General features: G+C 35.5%; 1 pseudogene, besides 1 other annotated feature; it reads left to right on the top strand.

Annotated features, from left to right (window-relative positions):
• RNU7-152P (RNA, U7 small nuclear 152 pseudogene) lies at positions 8,934 to 8,997 on the top strand (annotated as a pseudogene).
• Positions 20,724 to 20,930: a silencer, noted in NCBI's record as "fragment chr6:155964164-155964370 (GRCh37/hg19 assembly coordinates)". NCBI's record gives its function as "represses an EF-1alpha promoter that drives an FKBP-Casp9 reporter gene in an ReSE screen in K562 erythroleukemia cells {active_cell/tissue: K562}" and the evidence as "EXISTENCE:reporter gene assay evidence [ECO:0000049][PMID:32094911]".

Here is a 25,458-nt window from a genome sequence, read left to right as displayed (position 1 = left end):
AGTGAGCACAAATTTAGTTTTATTGGACTCAGCCACACCCATTTACGATGGTCTGGGACTCTTTTTCACCACAAGAGAAGAATTAAGTAGGTGCAGCTAAGACCACATGGCTCTTAAAGCCTAAAATATTAATATTTACTATTGTGCCCTTTATAGAAAGTTTGACAACCTGCGACTCAGAAAAAAAGCACAGGCTTCAGAATCAGAACATCAGATTCCAATTCTGGCTCCATCACTACCATACAGTTGTCAGATTTTGATAAGTTAACTTCTCTGAGCCTCGGTTTTCTGATCTGCAAACTGAGGTTCACACCTGGTTTGTAGGTTTCCTGCATTTATTAGACATAAGGCATTCAGCTCTGGCTCTGTTGCACAGAAGGTGCTCATGAATGGCATTCATCACTTCTCCCTTTCTTCCTGTCCTTCTCCACGTGACTTTATTTCTCCCACTCCCAAAGTTAAGCATTCCTTAAATTTATTCTTTAAACCTCTATCTTGATACTCTGCTCTAGACTTTCTCCCTGGGGCTTCTCATCATTCCTCTTGTCTGTAACTCTGCATTGAGGCAGGTGATTCCCATATCTGCCACTCCAGTTCTACTTCTCCTCTGAGTTATTTATGGAATGTCTTCCCTGCTCTGGGATATCTCCACTTGGACATCTCATGAGCACCCCAATTTCAACTTCTAACAAAACAAACATATCTTCTACCTCATGAATTAAACACACATAAAATAAGATCAACATAATATAAACGCAGGATTCTGTCCTACTGTAGTCGCCATTGGCTGTCACCAAATTCTAATAGTTACTGAGATGCAAGAATATTGAAGGCACGTTTCACTCCCCACCTTCCCAGCTCTACTTTTTTGGTTCCTAACTGAGCGGGCCCCTCCTGTCCATCACAGCATTCCTGGATTAAGCTGCCTAAAACACAGCTGCAATCACACCATTCTCCTACTTGAAAACTTTCTAGAGCTCTCCATTAAGTATAAATCCTGTAGACAGGTACAGAAGGCACCCAACAATGTCTCCTGCCCTATTTTTTCATACTCACCTCCTTCTACTTTCTTTCATATGCGCCCTACTCCCCACAAATTTGACTATTTGCTTTTCCCAGACATGTCTTCCCCCTTTCCCCAATGCCTTTTCCTTGCCTAACCTACCCTATCTGCCAGGAGTGCCGTTTATTCCAGCATGACCCAAACCTACCTGTCCTTCAAGATTCTGACTAAATGCCACCACCTCGATGAAATTTCCCTGATTATTTGGAGTTATAAGTAATCTTCCCCTCCTCTGAAATGTCATGATAACTGATTTGCTGCTCTCTTATGGCATAAGTGACCTTCTTTCTTGGATTATGAGAAAACCCTGTGCCTGCATGACTATGTGTAGACAGGAGCAATATGTGACAGCAAGTCAGAGTGACTTCAACCTCATTCCTGCCACTCCCCGGCTATACAGTCCTCAGCAAGTTAGTTTACCTTCCTCACCTCAGTTTTCATACCTGTAAAATGGATATAGTAATGCCTAGCACATAACTTACTGGGAGAATTAAATAAGATAATGTATATAAGGCATCTGGCACAGAATCTGCCATAGAAAAATAGAATTTTTATTCTACCTTCCTTAAAAGGTAGTGTGTCTTCACTGAGTAGAGAATCAAGCAGCTGATGTATTTTTCATGAAGGAATCTTCTCTGAAAATGGCCTTAAAGTAGGTAGTCAAAAAACATTTGTTCTAATAAACTGAAATAATGATGAGGTTTTAATCAAATGCCAAATGGTATTTATATGAACTCTGGAGTATAGGTTGAAAATAAAATTGAGTAACTGTGAATATATAACTTTGAAAATCACTTAGAATAAAGTTAAGGATATTAATTCTTTCTGATTTCTTGAGCTTACTAATTAACAAAGGAAGATACTAGGTAGTGAATTAATGAAATACAATATGACCTTGGCAAAAAAAATTCATTATTAAATCGATTAAAACAGTTCTTCATTGATACAACTCAGAAAAGGGTCCAAAGTAAATTGTTGCACTTCCAATGATCATGGTGCACTTTAAAGATCAATGTATTTATTTGATCCAGTGGGGAATCTGGATGGATACTGTCAGGTACAAGAGTCCTTCGCCTTTCAGCCTGAAGGGTTTCTTCATAAAATACTGGGGTCACAGCTGGTATGTTTTCTTGGGTTCGTTCTACTCCTTGCCATAAGAAAGTGAGGCTGATTCACGAACTTGACACAGACTTACGAAGAAACATTATTTTCTAAATTAAAAAGACAGAAGATGATTTATTTACTTAGGGTTATAGAAGAGCTTCTCATCCAACATTAGCCTGAAGGGCTGTCTAAAGACAGATACATTGGGTACTCAAAGGGCAAAAAGTATAATCCAGAGTTCTGAGTATACACTGAGCTGTACAACTGTACCTTTCTTGCAGTTGATCTTGTAAATCAAAATTTCACACATCCAGGATAGATTTTTCAGATATTTAGGTTTACATCGAATTTGCCATAGTTCAGGTCTTTAACTATTTGCCAACTGATATTCTGTGCCAACTTACTGTAGATTAGTAAACTCTAAGGAGGCTGAAGACAGTGTCATTACTACCTTTAGCGAAATCTCAAATGGAATGAACTCCCAAAGGGAATCTGTGGTTGCATTTTTAACCTTCAATAATTTTTTTAATGTCTAACTGTTAAAAATAAATCAATGTCCTTCAGTTTAGGAAAGGAGAAAAAGGGATGCCTTCTGCTCCTTTCCTAAGGAGAAGGGATGCTTTGGAAATAGCAAGCCTAGGAGTCAGGACACCTGGACTCTAGAGCCAACTCTCAGGCAGATGAATCAAATGACTCCAGGTAAGTTCCTGTTAAGTGCCTTGGAGACTGCTTGGATAGTGTGGGAGAAATGGCATTATTTTCTGAAATATTGAAAAGCAAAAGTGGATGTAATCAAGGAAAAAACAAAACGAAACAAGAATAACTGATCCTTTATGTCTTCTGGGAGGATTCACTAGTTCATTGCACCAAGGAGCCTACAGATATAGAAAACAAAGTCTATGAAATTTGGAATGATGAGAACAAGTGAAGTTAGTAAGGTTAGTAAGGATACACTAAGCCTGGATCCATGCGGAGTGTTTCATATGTAATTTTCAAGGCCTGTAAGGTAGCCCCATTTTACAGATGGAGAAAAGAAACTCCGAGGATTACTTGCTCAAGGTCACAGAGCTTCTAAGAGGCAAAGCATAGATTCAGATCTAGATGTAATGGTCATACAATATTGCCTCCCTTGTAGCTGAATATGTAACATTTAATAAACACTGTTAGGGACAAACCGCCCCAAAAACTTCTTGGTACTGTGGACACCCCCCTCCCAAACCTCTCCGTGCCACCCCTCCCCTTCCCCCAAGCCTTTTTACATTTATAAGCCCTTATCTAGGCGCCACAGTGGAGCCAGCAGACTTACTTATCAGACCTTGCTGCCATGAGCAAACTCCAATTACAAACCATCCAAACCACACAGGGGGAGGTCGTGGGAAGCATAAACAAACTTTACCTACACCCCCATGTACCATAAATGTCACAAAGTGATATGTGGCAGAATTAACCAGCAAACAACCCCAGGGTCTCTCTCCCCCATATAAACCCCTCATTTTGTAAGCTCAGGGCTGCCTCCTCTGTCTGTAGTGGAGCAGCCTGCAGGTTCAATAAACTTACTTGCCTGACTTTGGGTCTATTCTTCCTTTCTCTCAGCTGACCTTGCAAACACTAAGATTTTATTTAATTATAAAATAGAAAGCTTTCCTTTCCAATTGCCAAAGCTGTCCACATCCTAGGATTTTACTAGGTGAAAGGTAACTGTGGTAAGAGAGAAAGTAGTTTATATCTGAAGTTCTTTCCTGAGAAATAAAGTCCCAAATGTGGAGAATTGTTAGCAGGTAAAGGAACAAAACATATTTTGGAGATTCAGCTTGTTTTTGTGTAACTGAAGACATAATTTATTCAGTTGTATCAAAACATAAAATAGTGATACTAGAGCCAACTCTAGCATCAAAATCATACTCAACTCAAAGAAAAAAAGAAAAGGCAAGTTAAAGAGTAGTTTGAAGTGATTTAACCCAAGAATCATGGTGCTCAACAAACTCTGAAAGTCATCATGCACAGGACTTTCATCTTCACCATGCATCCTTGTGTCTAAAAATACTTGCTGATGGTTCTTAGGACTATTCAAGATGCCTCTTGAAAAAATACTAAGCATGCATGTTACAAATGCACGTGTCTTAATCAATGCTTAGTCCATTAATACATGTGACTCCTGTTTATCAAAAATGGCCTTCTGAGGGTATATATTCTGTCCTTTTTCCTGTTAGAGGCTCTGAAATTATGAGCACTTTTTTCTTCTGTATTTAAAAAGCAGACAAGCAAATGTTTTAAATGCAGCTAAAGTGATCTCCCTTTCCACATTCTATGCAGATAACAATACCTTCATAATTAAAGTACTATTATTACTATTTAATTGTCTGTTTCATTGTTTAATGAATAGGAACTAGTTAATTATGGTGATAGGGAAAGACAAAGGACAGTTTTCCAATGGGGGATGCGAAGCTCTAGTTTTTACAACGTGGGCTGAAAATTGCTTTATTTCTACTTCTGAACATCAGAACCCAGATTCACACATCCTTGTCAAATTATAAATCTCTTTCAGCATGATTTGAAAATGTGTTTAAGGAAGACTTTTTTTCTAATTTTGCATATTTAAATGATAGCAAATTTATTTCTTGATAGGTTAGAACTGGCTATGTTGGATTCATTCATCGAACAATTCTGAGAGTGAAAAAGCCAGAGCAGCTTTTTAACAACTCCCCAGCAAGGGCAGTTTTCAGGCACGTGAGGTCAAGAACTCACAAAATACACTGAAAGAATAAGACCGATCTAGCACTGATAAAACTCATCCTGGCCAGCTGTCTGCACTGGGGCTTAAAGCTCACTGTTGCTAGACAGGATCTGGACCTTGATGCAGAATTCTCATTGTTGCCTCAGGCCACCAATGGCAGAGTTATACTCATGTATTTCCACGTCTGTGGGTACCATGTTGAAAGACACTTTCATGTTTGCGCAGGGCTTTGCAGTTTTAAAAACCACTTTTCCGACTATCATTTTATTTGATCATTATAGCCCACGAAGCATGCAGGTCAGATATTATGTGCATGTTCCAAATTAGGAAACACGGCCAAAGAGGTTGAATGGCCTGTCTTGATCTTGTGGCTAATAAGTAGTACAGATATCTCTTCAGACCTTCTAGAAAGATGGGTAATTACATAAAGGAGTTATCAACATGACGTTGATGATTGATGTCGATGTTTTGCCAGAGCAACAGAGCAGGGAACAATAGGTAATAGAGTGCCTACTTCATGAGCCTAATCATCATCATGCAGAAAGATGTTGGGAGTCACTCTAAATAGTGATATACAAAACTTCGCTAAAATTTTGAAACATATCTCAATGCAAAATTGTTCTCTGATGGAGATGCAATCAGAAATATACATATCTGAGCTGACTTTATTATCTAACAAGGTTTGTGTTCAGACATACGAGGCTACTTCTGGATAGGAGATAGGGAGACTAGGTAACACTTCTGAGGACATTAGGGGAAAATATTAATTTTATTATGCAGGGAAAAATAAATCCTGTAGGGTGAAATTATGTTTCTCTTTTGTTTTCCTCAGTGGCACACTAGAAATGTTACCAATATATACACACACTCAAGGCTGCCACCCTCCTTCTATCAAGGCTGCCACCGCTGCAGACTTACCTTTTCCTGTTCCTACACCCAGGCTGGAGCTAACACATGTCATACTCGACAGATGTATCATAATCTCCTACATGAGTAAATGCCAAAAAAGGAGGGGAGAAGGTTGGAAAAAATCCAATACTGTAACATGTACTTATTAAGCTGGAGTTTCTTTAATGAGAAAGTCTTGCACATTGTCAATGTCACTAATACAAATTTCTTTATTTAGCAGCAACATCATAGAGACAATATGGGAAATTTTTGGTCCCTAATATTGATCTCCACAGGTTTTTCATCTGACATTTTCTTTGGCGCAATACATATTTGTGTGCAATATTGATTTTAATATGTTTCTTTGCTGCTAAAAAGTTTGGTATTGTGTTTGTATGTGTAATAGTAAGTATTAAACTAGAGGTTTCATACTGATTGTTCTCCACTCCTGCCAAATACTATGTGTAGAAAATATATTTCTATCTACTTTTGTTTTCTCTACACTGATTCCATCCTTTTAAAGAGTAAGAATTCAGAGGTGATGGTTCCAGGATGGCTTTCTTTAGCAATCTGAGGATTAAAATATGGTTACAGAGATTTATTGGCCAATCTTAATACCGCATGAAAACCAATTCTAGTGGCATTATTATAACTTTTATTATATGGTACAGCTTATTGTACCCTACAAGCAATTTAGGCAAATAAACTAAGTTAACACCACAGAAGTATGGGAAGCTTATGCAGATGTTAGGGTATTGTTTGATATTTGTTTAATGACACTGTTATGTATCTAAAATATATGTTCCCTAAAAGTTGATGTTTCTGATTCTAACCATACCTGTAACACAGTCAGATCATCCATTGCCAGGGATGTTCATCTCTGCTGCCTAAAGCATAGGTATACTGACTCTGTCAACTCAAAGTTTAGAAGCAAAGTAGGTATCATTTGTCTGTATTTCCTTAACTAATTTAAAAGTGTTAGGAATCAGCTTGGGGATAAGTGGCCTTTAATAAGTAGCAACCTATTTGAAATCTATGGGAGGCACAGTGACAAGTAAATTTAGAGAACAGATGTATGTGCAGATATGGAGCAAATTATCAGCAGGGAGCCAAGCTCTCATCAAAAGGAGGAGACAAGGAAGATAGGCAACATCGGGGAGAATCAACAGCAAGCCTCCATATGGACAAGAACCACACTGGGAGAAATGAGAAGTACCAGGCCATCAATGAGCTGAATCTGGGACATAGGCATGAGATAAAAAAAAGGACACTTTCATTTGCTAAAATCAGGATGCAAAGCAGCATGATACAATGCCAGTAGAGTACCGTTTAGAGCTCCATATATGCTTAGGACATATATGTGCCCTAGTCTTAGGGACAGGATAGATCCTTAAATTTGCCAAAGTGTAAAACATGCAGTTGAGAGTTCAGTGATATCACAAGGCTGTAGGAATAGAAAGGCAAACAAGTTCCTGGCAATCCAGGTTGGTGCCTGGTTTTATGAAGGTCCTTTCTCTTTTATTTTTATGATTTTGTGTTAAAAGGAAAGCACTGGTTCATCTGCCTGAATCTAAGGCACAAAGTCAAGATTAATGAAATCAGGCACTTGAAATAAAAGATAGTCTAATTTTAGGTTAAATCTCATGGATTTTTATGACTGAGATATATGCTGTCCAGAAGACCTTATTGTTCTGAAAAAGGTGAAGTCAAAAATAGTGTTAGTAGATTAGGGCTGGAACAGAGAAGAAGCAAAGACAGCCTGCAAGAAGAAAGATCAAATTAGCAAGACAAGCATATTATATTAGTCTATTTTCACGCTGCTGATAAAGACATATCTGACAGTGGGAAGAAAAAGAGATTTTAATGGACTCACAGTTTCACATAGCTGTGGAGTTCTCACAATTATGGTGGAAGGCAAGGAGGAGCAACTCACGTCTTACATGGATGGCAGTCAGCAAAGAGAGAGCTTATAAAACCATCAGATCTCATGAGACTTACTCACTATCACAAGAATAGCATGGGAAAGACCTGCCCCCATGATTCAATTACCTCCCACTGGGTAGCTCCCAGAACACGTAGAAATTCAAGATGAGATTTGGGTGGGGACACAGCCAAACAATATCACTATGAACCATGCAAAGTAATGTAAGTGTGAATGTAGATGCTCACAGAGTGATCCTAGATTTGGCAGAGATGGACTACCAATTAATCAGCAAACTTTTCCTAAATGCCTGATTTATCTGGAATAGTGTATAAAATGATGAAGTATATACAACTACAGAGACATGATCATTGACTGTCGGACATTATAGATTAGCTATAAAGAAAGAATATGCATATATATATTTATGTACACACACACATAGCTACCTATATGATATACATTAATCCAATAGTGCTGGAGGAAGGCGTTATTAATGATATAAGCAAGAAGCAGTATACGCATTGGAAGAGGAGAGAGTATGCTAACAATTTGGGATGATGAAGGAGATTTCCTAGAACTATGAGGAAAGTAGCCCTAAACATTTCACTAGATTGTTTCCTACAGTATTCTGATGTTGTGTTCTCTTAGGGTGCAGTTTGATGTTGGGAATGGAAAGAGAGAAAAAGAAAAGAAGACAGAGCTTGAAAATTTCTGGATAACATTACAACAACTGTTGTGGTAAAAAAATAAAATAAAATCCCCATGGTTTTGGCAAACGAGTTGAATATGACATAGCTAGGGTTTTGATATGGACCTAACAATCCCTCTTTCAATCCTCTTCATCTGCAAGTTAGTCCATTGACCTTCCATTAGCCAGCCTTCTCTAGGTAATGATATTTTTAAAATCCAGAGCCAAACAAGTAGTTAAAAATGATCCAGGGCTAGAGATGCCCCAGGGACTTTGCAAGAACAAATACAAAACCTATTAGAGGGAATGCGTCCCCAAGGCAAGCCTCAAGTAATTCCCATGAATAAAGGTCTAATTAGAAAGGTTTATTTAAAAACAAAAAAAACTCTATAATACACATGAATGACAATGGCACATAAGCAAGAACCAGGAGAAATAACAGAAGAATCAAACCTAAAAGATATTAGATAGTGGACTTAACAGGCACAGAACAAAAAAACACATATATAATGTTTTAAGAAGTATAAGATATGAATGTTATGGCTCTTTTATAATTTGTCTAGCAGGTTTTCCACTTTTCACCAGAAACTGCCTCTCTCTCCTCTACACATAAAGAAATATAAGATATAATTTAAAATATAACAAAGAAGAGACTATCAATTTAACCAGTGAGTTTGAAAAATAACTTAATAAAATGTTTAGAAGTAAAAAAGATATATAAATGGTAACAGTGAAATGGAAACATTATAATATACATGAAAATACAACATAAAATATAATAATACAATGAAATGTGTAATTTATGTTATGAATATAAAAAATGAAATTAAAACATTAATTGTTGAACTATGTTAGATTTTGCTGAAGAGATAATTAGTGAACTGGAAGATAGAGCTGAAGGAATTACTGAGCACAGAGCAGCCCAGAGAAACAATCAAAATGGAAAATGAAAAAGAAAGGTTAAAAGTCATAGAGCAAAGAATGAGAGAGTCTAAAACATGCTTACTCAGAATTATAGAAAAAGAACAAAGCAATGGAGGAAAGGCAATATTTTAAAAATAGCTGAGAATTTTCTGTAATTGATGAGAGACAAAACATGTATTATTCATTAAGCACGATAGAAATCAAGTAGGATAAATAAAAGACAAACCCAACCTGGTCACATCATAATAAAATGGAAGACAAAACACAAAGAAAAGATCTTAAGAGTAGTCAAAGAGAAAAACAGATCCCATGTAAGATTATGACAATTATCCCATTTTTAAACAGAAATCGTGAAAGCCATAAGCCAATAGAATACCATTTTTAAAGTGTGAGAGAAAAAAAATTGTCAACTTAAGATTGTAAAATTACGCCTAAAGACCAAGATGGAAATAAAAAGAAGTTTAGACAACAAAATAAAAATGTATTCACTCTCAGAACTTCTAAAGGAAGTAGGAAAATGTTTCCAGAAGAAACGGATGACACACACAAAAAAATGATGAGCAAATAGATTGGTAAACATATATGTAAATTTAAATACATATTCTGTCTAATTTGTGGAGTTATTCGAAACAATATGCAGCTCTCTACTGGACAAGTATCGTTTTATTATCCTATATTAACAGTGAGGTGGCAGAAAAAGCATTTTGAGCTCCATGTATTGCTCTGGAGATTGGTAAAACTATCCTGATTAACTTTAGATTTTGTTAGGCTGGGTATGGATTATAAAATTCTAATAATGTTTTGTTTTGTTGTCTAAACTTCTTTTTATTTCCATCTTGGTCTTTAGAGGGAGTTTTACAATCTAAGTTAACAGTTTTTTCTCTGACACTTTAAAAAATATCATTAACCACAAAAGAGTAGAAATTGAAATAAGTGAAGAGTAATAATATGATTGACTACATGAAGCCGATTAATCACAAAAAGTGAAGAAGGAGAGAAAAGAAAGTAAATGACAGCTGTAAAACACAAAATAACATCCTAGAAGTGAATGTAAATACAGCTCTAATAATCGATATAAAGAGGCATTGATTGTTAGACCCAAAAAGGTAGAGAAATATATAGAGATACAAACATAGACATAGACATAGATCTCTAGCTATATCCTGTTTATAAGGTGCTCACTTAAAACATTAAGACACAGCAAAGGTGAAGGTATAAGGACGGAAAATTTTGCACCAGGTAAATACTAACAAAAGAAATCATGTTTATAATGTAATATTAAAAACAGACTTCAAAGAAGAAAGTATTACTAGAGATATAGAAAGATGATGATATATTCACCAAAGATATATAACACTCAGACAAGATTATAAGTTTTACAAACATTAACTATTTCAATCCTCTTAAAACTTGATGAAATACATTTTATCTCCATTTCACAGATGAGGACATAGAAACACAGAGGTTTCAGTAAAAGTTGAATTCATCAAAGATATAATCATTTTAAACTTGTAAAAGCCTAATAGAAGAGTTTCAAATTATATAAAGCAGAAATTAACACAATTCGGAGAAATAGAAAAAGTCATCATCACTGAGGTTTTTTGTTTTTTTTTTTTGAGACTAAGTCTTGCTCTTGTGCCCCAGGTTGGAGTGCAATGGCATAATCTCGGCTCACTGCAACTGCTGTCTCCTGGGTTCAAGAGATTCTCCTGCTTCAGCCTCCCAAGTAGCTGGGATTACAGGCGCCAGCCACCATGCCCGACTAATTTTTGTATTTTTGGTGGAGACAGGGTTTCACCATAGTGGCCAGGCTGGTCTCGAACTCCTGACCTCAGGTGATCCACCAGCCTCAGCCTCCCAAAGTGCTGGGATTACAGGCATGAGCCACTGCATCCAGCCCAGTGTGAGGTTTTAATATACCTCTCTCATTGTCATTAAGCTGAAACAAATATAAAAGATTTGAATGATATAAAAAAAAAAAAACGATGTAAAGGATATATGACAAACAATATACTTAAACAAATGGAGAATACACATTCTTTTCAGGCATACTTTAGCCATTTACAGCAATTGATCATAAAGTAAGTCTCCACAGATTTTAAGAAATTCATATTATTCAAATCATGTTTTCTGTTCATGATGCAATTAGATTTGAAATGAACAACAAAGCAGATAACTAAAAACAGCAACAAAATATGTTTGTAAATGTAAATATGTATATTGTATAAATATACAAATATATACATGTATATACACACATACAAACAACTCATGTGTTTAAAAAATTCGAATGCACATTTAAAAACACTGAAATCTGAATTACACACATTTAAAACACATTTGAATGCGCATTTAAAAACACTGAAATCTGAATTACAATCAAAATACTATATAGCAAAGTTTGTGGGATGAATTTGTCCATTAAATGACATGTACAAGAATTTATAACCAGCTTTATTCATGATAGACAAATAATCCTGGAAAGAACCAAATATCCACTAACATTAGAATGGATAAAATATGGTATATTGTGGTATACCAATACCAGTAAAAAAGAATGAATCTCTTACACACACAATAAGGATAAATATGACAAACATTGTTTGGGGCTAAAAAGACAGATACAAAAGACTATATACTATATTATCATATATGAGGAGACTCTGTCTATATATAAACAGCTGAATGTACCCGGATCGAAGTATATATGAAGCAGACTCTGTCTATATATAAACACCTGAATGTACCCAGATCAAGGTATGAAACATTTCAAGCACCCAGAAATCTCCTCCATATCCAAACCCAGTCAATAACATTCTACTCTGAGAGAACCCTTATAGTGACTTCTATCACCATAGATTAGTTCTTGCTTTTTCTTTACTTTTTAATATTATCATACAGTATATAGTCTCTTGTATCTGTCTTTTTAGCCCCAAACAATATTTGTGATATTTATCCTTATTGTGTGTGTAAAAGAATCATCTTTTTTACTGGTATCAGTATACTATACTTTATCCATTATCTTAGTGGACATTTGGTTCTTTCCAGAATTATTTTTCTATCATGAATAAAGCTTGTGTGTGTGTGTGTGTGTGTGTGTGTGTGTGTGTGTGTGCGCGTATACATATATTCTTTTTGTGTGTGTGTATATATATAGTGTGTATGTGTGTGTATATATATAAATATATATATATTGTTTGAACTGTTTGCTTAAGATCAGTGCATTTTATTCACTTTACCACGTGTTTTTATCCTTAATACAATGGAAAAAATATGGTTGGCTGTAACTAATGAAGTTCTTAAAGGGAAACATGTATCCTCAAAAACATATATTTAGAAAAGACAAAAGCTAAAATTTAATGAGCTAAGCATATTATATAAGAAGATAGAAACATCAGGGATGAGAGAAGCAAAGAAGTATAAATGAAAACCTTTAAAAAATAAAAGCAAAAATTAATGAACTAGAAAAAGAAAAGAAAATGTAGTAGAAGAAATCAACAATTCCAAAATAAAAGTGGTTTTTTGAAAAGACTGATAAAAATCAAGAAAGCTGCAATAAGCTCAAACAAGGAAAGATGGGACACATTAATATTAGGAATGAAGAATAGAATATAACTACAAATAGAGCAGAGATTTAAAAGGCAATAGTATTGATAATAATACGTAACATTTATTGAATGTTTGATAAGCCTTAGGCTTGTTCTAAGTCCTTTATATATTTATCACTTCATTTAATCCTCATGACATAAAATACCCTGAGGTGCGCATTTTATTATGTCCACCTTTTTTTACAGATTCATGCCAATACTTTTAAAAATTAATGAAAACTTGGCAAATTCCTAGAAAAACATAATTTAGCAAAACTCTCAACAGGAAATTTAAAAGTCTAAAAAGTTATATAATGAAGTTGAATAGTTAAAATTCTAATATATAATCAAAAAACAACTCATTCCTTTTTTAAATAATCTGTTCCATATAATAGAAAAATGAAAAACTTCCCAATATATTTTATTAAATACTATGACACCAAAACAAACAAACAAGATAAGAAAGAAAAACTAAAGTCTAGTTTCATTCATACAGATGCAAAGACTCTAAACAAAATATAATCAAATTGAATCTACCGGTATATTAAAGAATAATGGAACATAACCTAAACTGAATTTATACCATGAAAGAAGGGCTAAAATTTGCAAATCTATTAATGTAATACACCATATTAACAGATTAAAGGTGAAAAAACCATGTAATAATTTAAATAGATGCAGGAGAAGCGTATGATATATATCACTAATCCTACTGAAACCACTGAGAGATAGATATTATCCTCATTTCACTAATAGGTAAATCAATAATAACTAATAATAAAAATAGCTAAATTTATAAAGTACATGTTTTATACTAAGTACTATGCTAAGTAATTTGCAATAATTATTTTATACTTAATTACAGTCTTAAAAGCTCTGCACTATTATGATTCTTATTTCACAGCCTGATTATTTTTGTACTCAATTTTCACAAATTTGAGTCTGAAGCAATATTATTCTGCAGCTTCCCTGCCCAATAAAGGAAGATAACTTGAACCACTTAATTAAAATAGTGTGTTTTAGTTATATCTAATACAGAACAACCAACACCACAATTTTTTTCATTAGCTATAGGTCCAAGTTAAAATTGTTTCTAATTATGAAGAAAAGTTGGACATGCGTATTTCTAATGTGTGTGTATACTATCTTACATTTAAAAGATGATGGATTTTGGCTATTGTTATACGTTAAGCATTTTGGCACACTCCATTGTTGATTTGCTTTTACAAAACAAAAAAGGAGATGCTTTGAATTATACACAGATATTTGTATAAATTTCATCCCCCTACACCTGTATCCTATTATAATTGCTCAATCCCTAAAGCGAATGCTTTCAAATGCATAATGTGAATATATTTTTATAGATTATTGCTTCAGTAATTATACACTAATATGAATTACAAAAAATCAGTTATAAAATGTACATCCAGAAAGCTCAGGAAATATTTTATCTCAAGGAATTTAGCATTTAGCAAGGTTTGAAATGTAAAACTTTATTTTAAAGCAAAACCATAAGGATGACTCATATACAGCCAAGAATATTTGAATTCTTGGTTCAAAAATTTATATGAACCAAGAAACAATGATTCCACCATATCTTTAGAAATATAACTTAAATAGATATTTTCATATCTGATAGCATTCCCAAGTTATACAGAAACCCTGATATAAAAAACCTCTTTTAAGTGTTTTAGAGCTCACATATTTTTCTTATAAAAGCAAAGCTGAACCCTTTCTGAAATTGTTTCCTTTTTGTGTGCACATGTACATGTGTGTGCGCATGCACATATATTCTTTTAAGTGGTGACTAATCTTAATGCATCTAGTCTACCTTCTGTGTCTGGTGAATGCTTTTATGCTTTTCTTGCTCCTGGGATGTTACCCAGCTTTCAAAATCTTACTCAGGTGGTGTGAAGAATAAAAAAAAAAATGTTATATATGCCCTTTCATGGCTGCCCTCGTAATGTGCAACACAGAACATCACTTAGGATTTAAAGGCCCATAAAATAGAAAGCTTGCTTAACCCCTTGACTGCTCCATGCATGCAAGTTGCAGCACCCTGTGATATTGGAATTTTATGAGTGTTGAAAGCTGAGGTGTTTTAAGCCTCAGCAGCATATATTCGTTCTGTTATGGTAACCCAGGTCAAAAGCAGCACAGGATTTTTTAGCTCTCTCTATTTTCTTTGTCTTTGAAACTGTTCCTAGACATCCTAATTCTGCACAGCAAAATGCCTGCAAGCATATAATAATTCAGTTAATTAGTAACAAGAAATGAAGAGTATATATTTTCTTTCACTGAATAAAATAAAAATGAATGTATTTCCAAAGAAGTCAGGAACAGCAAAAATAGTGGCATGTTTCCTCTTTAAAATGGCATAAGCAGACTATAACAAGTTAGGAACTTAAAAAAGGAACAGAAAACAATACTATTGTATGCCTAGTATTGTCTAATTTTAGAAAGGTATAATCTGCTAGAAGAGAACCCAGTTATGGACATACCAGGAAAGTCAGCACTTTAGGGCAATGTGGGACGTTCTAAGAGAAACGAGGAAGCTAAAATTGGCTGAACGTGTAGACCGGAATCCTAAGGGAGGATGAATCCGGGAATATGAGCCACTCCTGTGGCTGGGGCTCCAGGGGCTGCCTTTTGGAATACTTTGGCCTCTCTCCCTGACCTTACAATTTGATAACACAAGGGCTTATGTGACCTGAAATCATTGTATTATTATTTCATATGGTTATTTCAATTTAAAAAATCGTTGCTTCTACTCTGCACAAACCACTAAGAGAATAAGGGACAGTGATCACCCCAAGAAATTTTTATATTCTTATAGGAGGAATATGAAAACTATCAAAGCAATTATAAGGCAACATTCAAACATGAAATAGAAATAGTTATAGCTGCATTTGGATAATTCTCATTTATGGTTAATGAAACACTCTAACATGTATCATTTTGTTGTGCTTCACAACATTCCTGAACAGTAGACACAGCAGCAGGGAAAACTGAAACTCACAGAGGTTGAGGGACCTATCTAAGGTCACATAGCTTGTAAGCTGCAGAGCTGGAACTAAACACCATTCTTCTTATTTCAAGTCCAGTTTTCGTTCTGTTACAGACTTAGTACATATTTGGCACTCCAATTTCCACTAAGCAAAGCCATGCCAGGTAAAGGGAAGAAAGAAAGGGAGAGAGAGAGAGAAGAGGAGGTGGGAGAGGGAGAGAGGGAGAGAGCATGCAGGTGGAGAAAGGAAGACCAGTGGGAAGGGAAAGATGCAACAGGAAATCTGACTACTGGGCAGGAAATGTGTTTCTCCCCATTATGCCCCACCCACCAATGTTTCTAGGGCCCCTTCAGTTCTATAGCCTTTCTCATTCTGTTTAATGTTTATTTCCTCCTTCAACAATTCTCCCTCATGGCTGAGATTTCATAGCTTTGAAATGAAACATTCTTTGTCTGAAGTTGTTTGCCTTGGATGATCCTTTCATCTTATCTCACTTTTCCTTTCCACACATTGAATTCTTTTTCTCCTCCTGAGTTTTATGTCCTGCTTTTAAATTAAGTTACTGAGGGAGTTGTGTAAATTCTTTTAGGCTTTAAGAATCCATATCCTTGTTTTGAAATTCTAGAGACTCATCTAACTGTCAATGTTTCACAATCTCATTTCAATATTGAAAAAAAAATCAATTGTTAAAGAGTTACAATGCCCATAGCCTGTTTATAAGATCAGAAGATTTAGTCACATAAATTGATGGTTATAAAAACTGAGTAATTTACTTGTATAAGCCTTTTATTTAATAAATCCGTGACTAAAAGTAGAAACTATGTAATACAATATTAATGCTTGCAACTTTTAAAGATAATAATAAATAAAACACTAAAACGTCATTTTAATTCTTAAACATGTTAATGAAGGGAATATACATGCCCCAGTTTTTATGAAATAGATAACATGCTGTGAAGATGGGAATCCATCTTACAGAAAGTGAATTAAATTCTAGATGATAAGTTCTCTTTTTGGAAAGTTTTGTGTTGGTTTAAGTGTTGTTTTAATTATAGACTACCACATAGTTAATGGAAGAGGTGGCGTCTGAATGATGACTTTGAGTTAGATATGTTTTGTCCTGATCTCAAGTTTAAGGGCCATCTTTATGGGTGATGCGTCACTATTTAGAAGGCATTTTCAGCTTCTTTATCTTGAAGAACAGAACTGAAGGGAAATGTCTTCAGTTTCTGAATCACCTTTTAATAGGAAGTATAGCTAACTTCTGATTGGAATCAATATCTCAACCAGAAAGTTTGAGAAGAGTTTAATTAGCCTCCATGGTTCCACTTCATGATTTCATAGAGCAGTTTTTTGAAAGTCACGTCAGTGACTATCAGTTTACTGCCTCCGTCAGCATTTTGTGAATTCCGGATTACCATTCAGCAGCGCCACGTCCTATGTGTGCAGCACTCAGGACTACTGAGCAGACAGTGCTGCCAGAATAGCAGTGCAGACTCTGGTGGACAGACACATTCACACAGGATATAGATAATATAAAATTGAAAGCCTCTAATTATGGTGTGATCTTGAGGATTGCATTGTTTCAGCTAAAACTTACTTTCTTTTGCAAATAGTGGGTCAACACGCAGGCTCTAACTTTGACAGCTGAGATAGAATATGTGGGGACAGAGCTTTCTTCATTTGTTCTCATGAACTAAAAACCAGTAGAATTTTCCCCTGTATTTTCCTGTTATTCTTGTTCAGCTAATATGCATGCCAAGCCACTGTTGGAACACAAAGGAACATTGTTCCACTAGATTGAAAATTGAACTAAAAATTTATTTGAAATGATAATTTGTTTTCCTCATATCCAAGATGTGGGAAGCTTTACGACTAGATTTGCATTTTTTAGGGTTTTTTTGTTTTGTTTTGCTTTCAGGCAGTATGTCTGAATCCAGCACAAAATCTAAGGCAAGTCTGAACATTGACGTTTCTAGACCAAGAATAGGTGTGTTCCTATTACTTGAAATACATTACTTGAAAACTCATCAATCAATGCTAAGGGGAAAAAAGGGATGATTTAGAAATTAAGTTTCCTAACATGATTATATAAATTTGCCTAATAGTAAAATCCTACAAATCAGGATACATTATATCAACATAAGAGAAAGTTAAGTTCTAATTATTATTGTTAATTTGTTGGCAAATAAAAAGAAACCAGTCACTATATCTGAAAATTCTGCCAATGTAACTAATATGCTAGACCTTTTGACAATATATCAAAAACAAACAAAAAGGAAGCAGTTAAAGCATCTGAGGGTTCATCAGGCATGTTTAAAAAAATCTGAATAAATGGCTGTTCTTTGAATTGTATGAAATGTTTGACACCCTGTATTTGAAACCTTTGTTTCAAGCTTACTGTATTTGCTGTGTGCTCCTCTTCTAGTTGTATGGGTTATTTACTGGATGGATGACTCACAGAAGAAAATATACATGTTGTTTTACCTTCTAGTGTTTGGCTTGATTACTAATCTTCCCGTGCTGAGGCAGTGTTACAAATGTGAGAAATTTAAGTGCATCAGTTCCACATGTAGGCTTGCTGAGCAGAGTGATACAGAACAAAGATCACCAGATGGGTCACAGGGCCGCATTCTAAGGAACTGTATTAGGCTGAATCACAATGTTATTTTGCTCTTAGGCTGTTAATAGTCAGCTACTGTTTCAGTAATTTTAAAAAAGCATGAAAAAGAAAGAAAGCAGTTAATTAAAATATCAATATCATACTCTTATGAATTTGTTATATATAACATAGAAGAACACATTAGACATATCAGACTCAACATCCAGGTATTTTGACAATACTGTTTGGAATGCTCGCTGAAGAATGGGGTGTTGATGGGTACAAATACACAGTTTGATAGAAGAAATAAGACCTAGTGTTTGAAAGAGAGTAGGGGGACCATAGTTTACAATAATCTATTGTGTATTTCAAAACAGCTAGAAGAGAGGAGACAGATACTTAAGATGATGATATCCCAATTACACTGATTTGATTTTTACAAATTATGTGATTGTATTAAATTATCACATGACCCTGAAATTATGTGCATCTATTATGTATCAATAAAACTGATTAAAAACAAAGTTTAATTTAAAAAATAAAAATAAGTCCTTCACAAAAATAAAAGAATGGAGTATTGTCTTAATGATTTATTTTTTTACTTGATTTATCCAGTATTTTCATTGGCCTGTCAAGACTCCCAAATTAAAACTGTCCAGAGAGAACAGTATGACTATTGCCTCTACAGTTTAAAATCTTGAGTTGTCACATATCAAGAGTATGGGCAGTCCCTGCTGTTCTATATGGCTCGTTTTCCCCTTCTGCTCACTCAAAGTGTCTAATTAGCAGCCACACTTATTTCTCATTGCCTTTAGCTCCTCAATCAAGGATTTCTGGTGAAGGAACCCTGCTGTGGGTGCTAGAATTTTTTTAAAAAAGAAACAAAACATGAAACTCATCTTCATGTAATCAGCCTATAAACACCACCCCTTCATCACCAAGGGAAAAGAGAATGATTTTCCATTTCCTATTCCAAAAACACTACTAAGACTATTTTTAGTTTACTTTATCTTTTTATGTCTGATCTTGGTAATTCTTTTGTCAAGATGGACATAAGGAGAGAATAGAAGAAAGAAAAAAAATTGAAAATTCTTAGAATCAAGTGAATTGCTTATGAAACCTGGAAACACAGGCAAATGTCCATCTTGTTGTGAAGAACACCTTCAGTCTATAAATACATAAAATATGACCCAAATAACGCAAAGACTTAAAACTTTGAATGAGGCAAGCAAAACTATATCTGTTAGGTATTTAATGGGTTATTTAAGCTAGAAAATTTTAAAAATATGTCAAAGGAATTCATTCATTCAACAATAGTTAGTAGTGTCCAGTGTCCCAGGCATTTTCTTAGGTACTGGGGATAAGAGTGAGCAGAACGTGATCGCTGCATCTAGGAGTTTAGAGCACAGAGATAAGAAACAGGTAATTTAAAATGCAGTGTGTAAACCACAAGGCATTTTAGGAGATCTAGGAGAGACACAAATGTTAAGAGCATAGAAATGTCCTAGTAGAATTGACATCCAACCTGTGTCCAAAATGATGAATAAAGCTTAGTAAGGCAAAATAAAATACATATATATACTTCTAGAATGGCAGAATGGCGAGTAAAAACCTCTGAAAATTCATTCTTCCATTAAAGCAAAACAACACTTGCAAAAATGGTCGACTTTTTCAGAATGCTGAAAATTAACCAGCACCTTGCAACAATGTTAAGAGCATTATTCCAGAAAAACAACTGAATCTCAGTAAGAACAGCAAGTGCTGTGGTGTTTTAATTTGGTTTATTTCCAAATTATGAAAACCAGCAGCCCAACAGCCCCTGGATAGGGCAGAATGGGGTTGAAGCTCTCCAAAAGCCTCATCCCCAGAGAACTGTCTCTATTTGACCTGTCTGCTACCTCCCTGAAAAGCCTTATTCTTAGCGTTTATCTTTTTTTTTGACCTGACTCAGAGCTCACTCTGTGCAAGCATTTGTAGAAAACAATTAGCAGTGGCCAGGCGCGGTGGCTCACACCTGTAATCCCAGCACTTTGGAAGGCCGAGGCAGGCAGATCACGAGGTCAGGAACTCGAGACCATCCTGGCTAACATGGTGAAACCCCGTCTCTACTAAAAAATACAAAAAATTAGCTGGGCGTGGTAACGGGCGCCTGTAGTCCCAGCTACTCAGGAGGCTGAGGCAGGAGAATGGTGTGAACCCAGGAGGCGGAGCTTGCAGTGAGCAGAGATCGCGCCACTGCACTCCAGCCTGGGCAACAGAGACTCCGTCTCACCAAAAAAAAAAAAAAAAAAAAAAAAAAAACCATTAGCAGTAACTGTTTAATAGTACAGGTGCCTGAGGCAGTAATTCCAGTTGGAACTAACAAGAAGGTGACCAAAACATATAAAGTAAAAAAGTGGGAAATGAAACGTCCACAGAGTGCTTTTAAAGGCCCCATATCTGGAAATTTAGAGGGCTGGCCAGGCGCATGTGGAAGACTGTTTACGTACTCAGGAAAGATCTGAGAAGGTCCTTATCTCTCATCTCTGACTGACCATGAGGGCTGTGCAAGCAGGAAGTGAAAGCTAAGGCGGACCTGTGAGTTGCCTGTGAAAGCATTGAAGGCATGCCCCAACACACACACACACACACACACACACACACACACACACACACACGGAGAAAGAGAGAGAGAGAGAGAGAGGAGAACTCCTCTGCAAAGCCTGGGAGACTTATTGATTGCATTCATTAGCTGACCAGTAAGCTAACTGAACACACCAAGCATCAGTGGATGCAAGTGATAAAGAATACAGATTCAGTCCAGGAAATTCATGAAACAAAAAACAGTCACTAAACAAACACACAAACAAAAAACTCACAGAATGTGGTGCGGAGGTGGGGAAATTGGATTTCCACACTTGCTTTATTACTTAAAATGTTCAGTTTTCAACAAAAATTTATGAGATATGCAAAAACAATGGGAAAGGATGATACATATAAACAAAAAAAAAGAGAAGTTAATAAAAAAGGTACCTGAGGAAGTTCAGATTTTGGACTTACTAAACAAAGTCTAAAACAGCTATAAAAATATGGCTAAATTTTTTTTAATTCATGTGCTAAGAACAATGGAAAGAAGGTGTGAGAATTCTATCTTACCAAATATAGAATATCATTAAAGAAATACAAATTAGGCTGCGTGCAGTGTCTCATGCCTGTAATCCCAGCACTTTGGTAGGCTGAGGCAGGTGGATCACGAGGTCAGGAGTTTGAGACCAGCCTGGCCAACATAGTGAAACCCCGTCTCTACTAAAAATATAAAAACTAGCCAGGTGTGGTAGCATGCGCCTGTAGTTCTAGCTACCCGGGAGGCTGAGGTGGGAGAATCACTTGAACCCGGGAGGCAGAGGTTGCAGTGAGCTGAGATCACGCCATTGCACTCAAGCCTGGGTGACAGAGACTCCATCTCAAAAAAAAAAAAGGAAAAGGAAGAAAAAGAAAGAAATACAAATTATAAAAAATAACTAAATAGAAATTCTGGAATTGAAAATTATAATAATTACTGAAAACGTTCACTAGGGAAACTTAATAGCAGATATAAAATACCAGACTATTAGACTGTCAACCAAGAATTCTATGCCCAGCAAAGCTAAAATTAAGAAGGAAATACATTCCCAGATAGGGAAAAACTGAATTAGTTACTAGCTGGCCTGCACTTTAAGAAACATTAAACAGAATCTTTCAGCCTGAAATTAAAGAACATTAGACAGTAACTAGAATACATACAAAGAAATAAAAATAGGTAAATGTACATTTACATAGGTAACTGTAAAGTCAGTAAAAAATGCATTTTCATTTCTAATTCTTCTACCTCAACTAAAACTGTATAAAACAATAAGAACACTGTGGTGATGGATACAAATGTATAAAGATGTAATTTGTATGATAATAAGAGCACAACAGAGGAAAAAGGGAATGGAGCTATATAGCAAAACAGTTTCTATATACTATTAAAACAAAGCTCATGTTACTCCAAAATAGATTGCTTTAAATTAAGAGGTTAATTTTGAACCCCAGGGTGACAACTAAGAAAGTAATTAAAGATAATATAGTAAGAGAAACAAAAATAAAATAAAATGGAACACAAGAAAATATCTATGTAACACAAAGAAGGTAGTAACAGAGGAATATCTGTATGCATGTTATACAACCATAATGCAATGAAATAACAAATGGAAATTTGGGAATATACAAATATGAGGAAATTAACCAGCACACATATCTCTAAGGGGAGAATCAAGAACACAGAGGGTGGAGCTGTGATCCCAGAGTTCAGAGTTATGATTTTAGAGAGCAGAGGCATGAACCACAGAAGATTATTCTCAAGCCTTGAAACCTCATGCAGTGTTCCCAGGTACATTGCTAAATTGTTTGAGACTGATAACTCCTTTTTTCCTTCCATTTTTCTTTCATTTCACCTAGATGTCTATAACAGCTATCCTATACCTGTCCCATCATTGTATTTTGGGAGCTGATAATTTTTCACAGGTTCATATTGAAAGAAATTGTGCCTCAGAATGAAATGTACCCAGAACCTCACCTGGACTGAACTTAGAATATTTAGATAATGAGATTTGCAACTTCTGAGTTGATGATTTGTAGATGAGATTTTGGACTTAAGTTGATGCTATAATGGGTTGAGACTTCTAGAGACCTTTAGGTGAAGTGAATGTATTTTGCATGTTGTATGAATATTAATCTTTGGGGGCCAAAGGGAGGGACTGTGGTTGGCAAAATAATGACACCTGAAAGTTATCCATGCCCTAATCCTCCCAACTTGTAAATGTTATCTTACAAGGCAAAAGGGACTTTGCAGATGTAATTAAGGATATAGTGTGTGCCATATTTGCATTTCCTCCTAAACTGCATTTCTATGGGGCTTAGAGAATAATTTTGCTAATAATTGCTAATAAATTGAAGTCCCTAAATTTTTCATATTGGTTTTTATTTTTTAACAAATTTTTATAATTTATTTGGGGTTGAATTCTTGATCAAAAGCAAAGCTAAAAAACTTTTTTGTTTTAGGAGAGACAGAGGGTTATCCTTTTGGTAAATACAATATTCTATATGTTGACTCAATCATGAAAGAAACGTAGCTGAAAATTTAAGAGTTGTCAGTATTGTTACTTGTAAGTTTAAAAGTCTGTTTTAAGAACTTTTTAGAAGTTTAAAATATGTATATATCTTTGTATACACACATATATATTAATCTATATACACATATACATATATTAATATATGTACACACATATAAATGTACATGTTTATATATACACACATATATACACCTCTATACAGACAAATATATATAAAAGTGTGTATGTGTGTGTGTGCTTATATTTACCTATATATGTGTATATATATAATTATATGTGTATACATATACATGGTCATGATGAAGAATATATACATGGTCTATACCATGTTATATATGTACACATAATAATATATATACAGGTAAATATATATATACACCCACATATGTGGGTGTATATATAGAAGTACATAAACAGATATCTATTATTAGATCACCAGGTCTCAGAAAGAGAATTCTGGGTAGTGTGAATAGGATGTACATTGTTTACCTACGGAGCCAAGAGGAAGAACTCTCAATTATAAATGAGAATGTGTGCCTCCACAATTGCTCTTCCTGAAGGCACATTATCAAAAACTTCGAAGAGTCTGGGATTGTATCCTATTTTCAAGCTAACAATTACCCTGCCACAGTTGCATGGGTGCTGAAAGAAGCTGAAAAACCCCTGGATCATGGAACTTTATTACTCACAGCAAAAGTAGTAGCCAGAATGTCAGCCTCTGCACCAGTCCCCCAAGCCTTAATTCCCCTTTGCTATGTGGCAATTAATTTTAGGTGTCAATTGGATTAAGGAATACCTAGAGAAATGGTAAGGTATTACTTCTGGGTGTGTCCGTGAGGGTGTGTTTCAGAGGAGATTGGGCTGTGAGTCAGTGGACTGAGTGGGGAAGATCTGGCAGGCACCATCCAATCAGTTGGAGGCCCAGATAGAACAAAAAAAGGACAGAAAAGAATTTACTCTTTCTCTCTTCTGGAGCTAGGACACTCTCTTCTTTCTGCCTTTGGACATGAGAACTCTAGGCTTTCTGTCCTTGGGACTCCAGGGCACACACCAGTGACCCCCTGGTTTTTCAGGCCTTAGGCCTCAGACTGAGAATTACACCATCAGCTTCCCTGGTTTTGAGGCTTCCAGACTTGAACTGAGTCAAACTACCAGCATCCCAGAGTGTCCAGCCTGCAGATGGCCAATTGTACTTCTCAGCATCCATAATTGCATGAGCCAATTCCCCTAATAAATCGTGTGTGTCTGTGTGTGTGCGTGTGAGTGTGTGTGTGTGTGTGTGTGTGTGCACGCACAGTGGGGTACTATTGGTTTTGTCTCTCTGGAGAAACTGAATAACCCGGGGTGAAGTGGAGAGGTCCAACTGATGCCTGCACACTGTAGGTTGCATTACAGAAGAAGCACCCAGAGATTAGGTAACACAAATCTTTTAAAACAGACAAGCATGCACACCTTTTATTTCAAGGTAAATATTCTCTCTACCATCCAAGGTTATAAACAAACCTCCCTGGATCTGAATGGAGACACTATTCTCTATTTTCTGAGACTGTTTTCTATATAAACATCCTTGAAAAGATAGTTCAAAACCAAAGCAGTCAGGGCCTCTGCTCTCATGACGTAGGAGATATGAGAGGCCCATGGAGAATTGTTTCCCAATTCACAGTGAGTGAAACTTTGTCTCTGAATTTACGTTTATTGTTTTCATCCTAATATTTTGGTATATACCTTTCTATGAAATTAATCATTGTATGGTTTGGTAAAACATGTCATTACTTATAAAATCGTTTAATACCAGCAAATTCTG

The sequence above is a fragment of the Homo sapiens genome, chromosome 6 (genome assembly GCF_000001405.40).
Source record: "Homo sapiens chromosome 6, GRCh38.p14 Primary Assembly".
NCBI lineage: Eukaryota > Metazoa > Chordata > Mammalia > Primates > Hominidae > Homo > Homo sapiens.
Note: the sequence above shows the minus strand (reverse complement) of the source record. Positions and strands in the feature narration are given on the sequence as shown.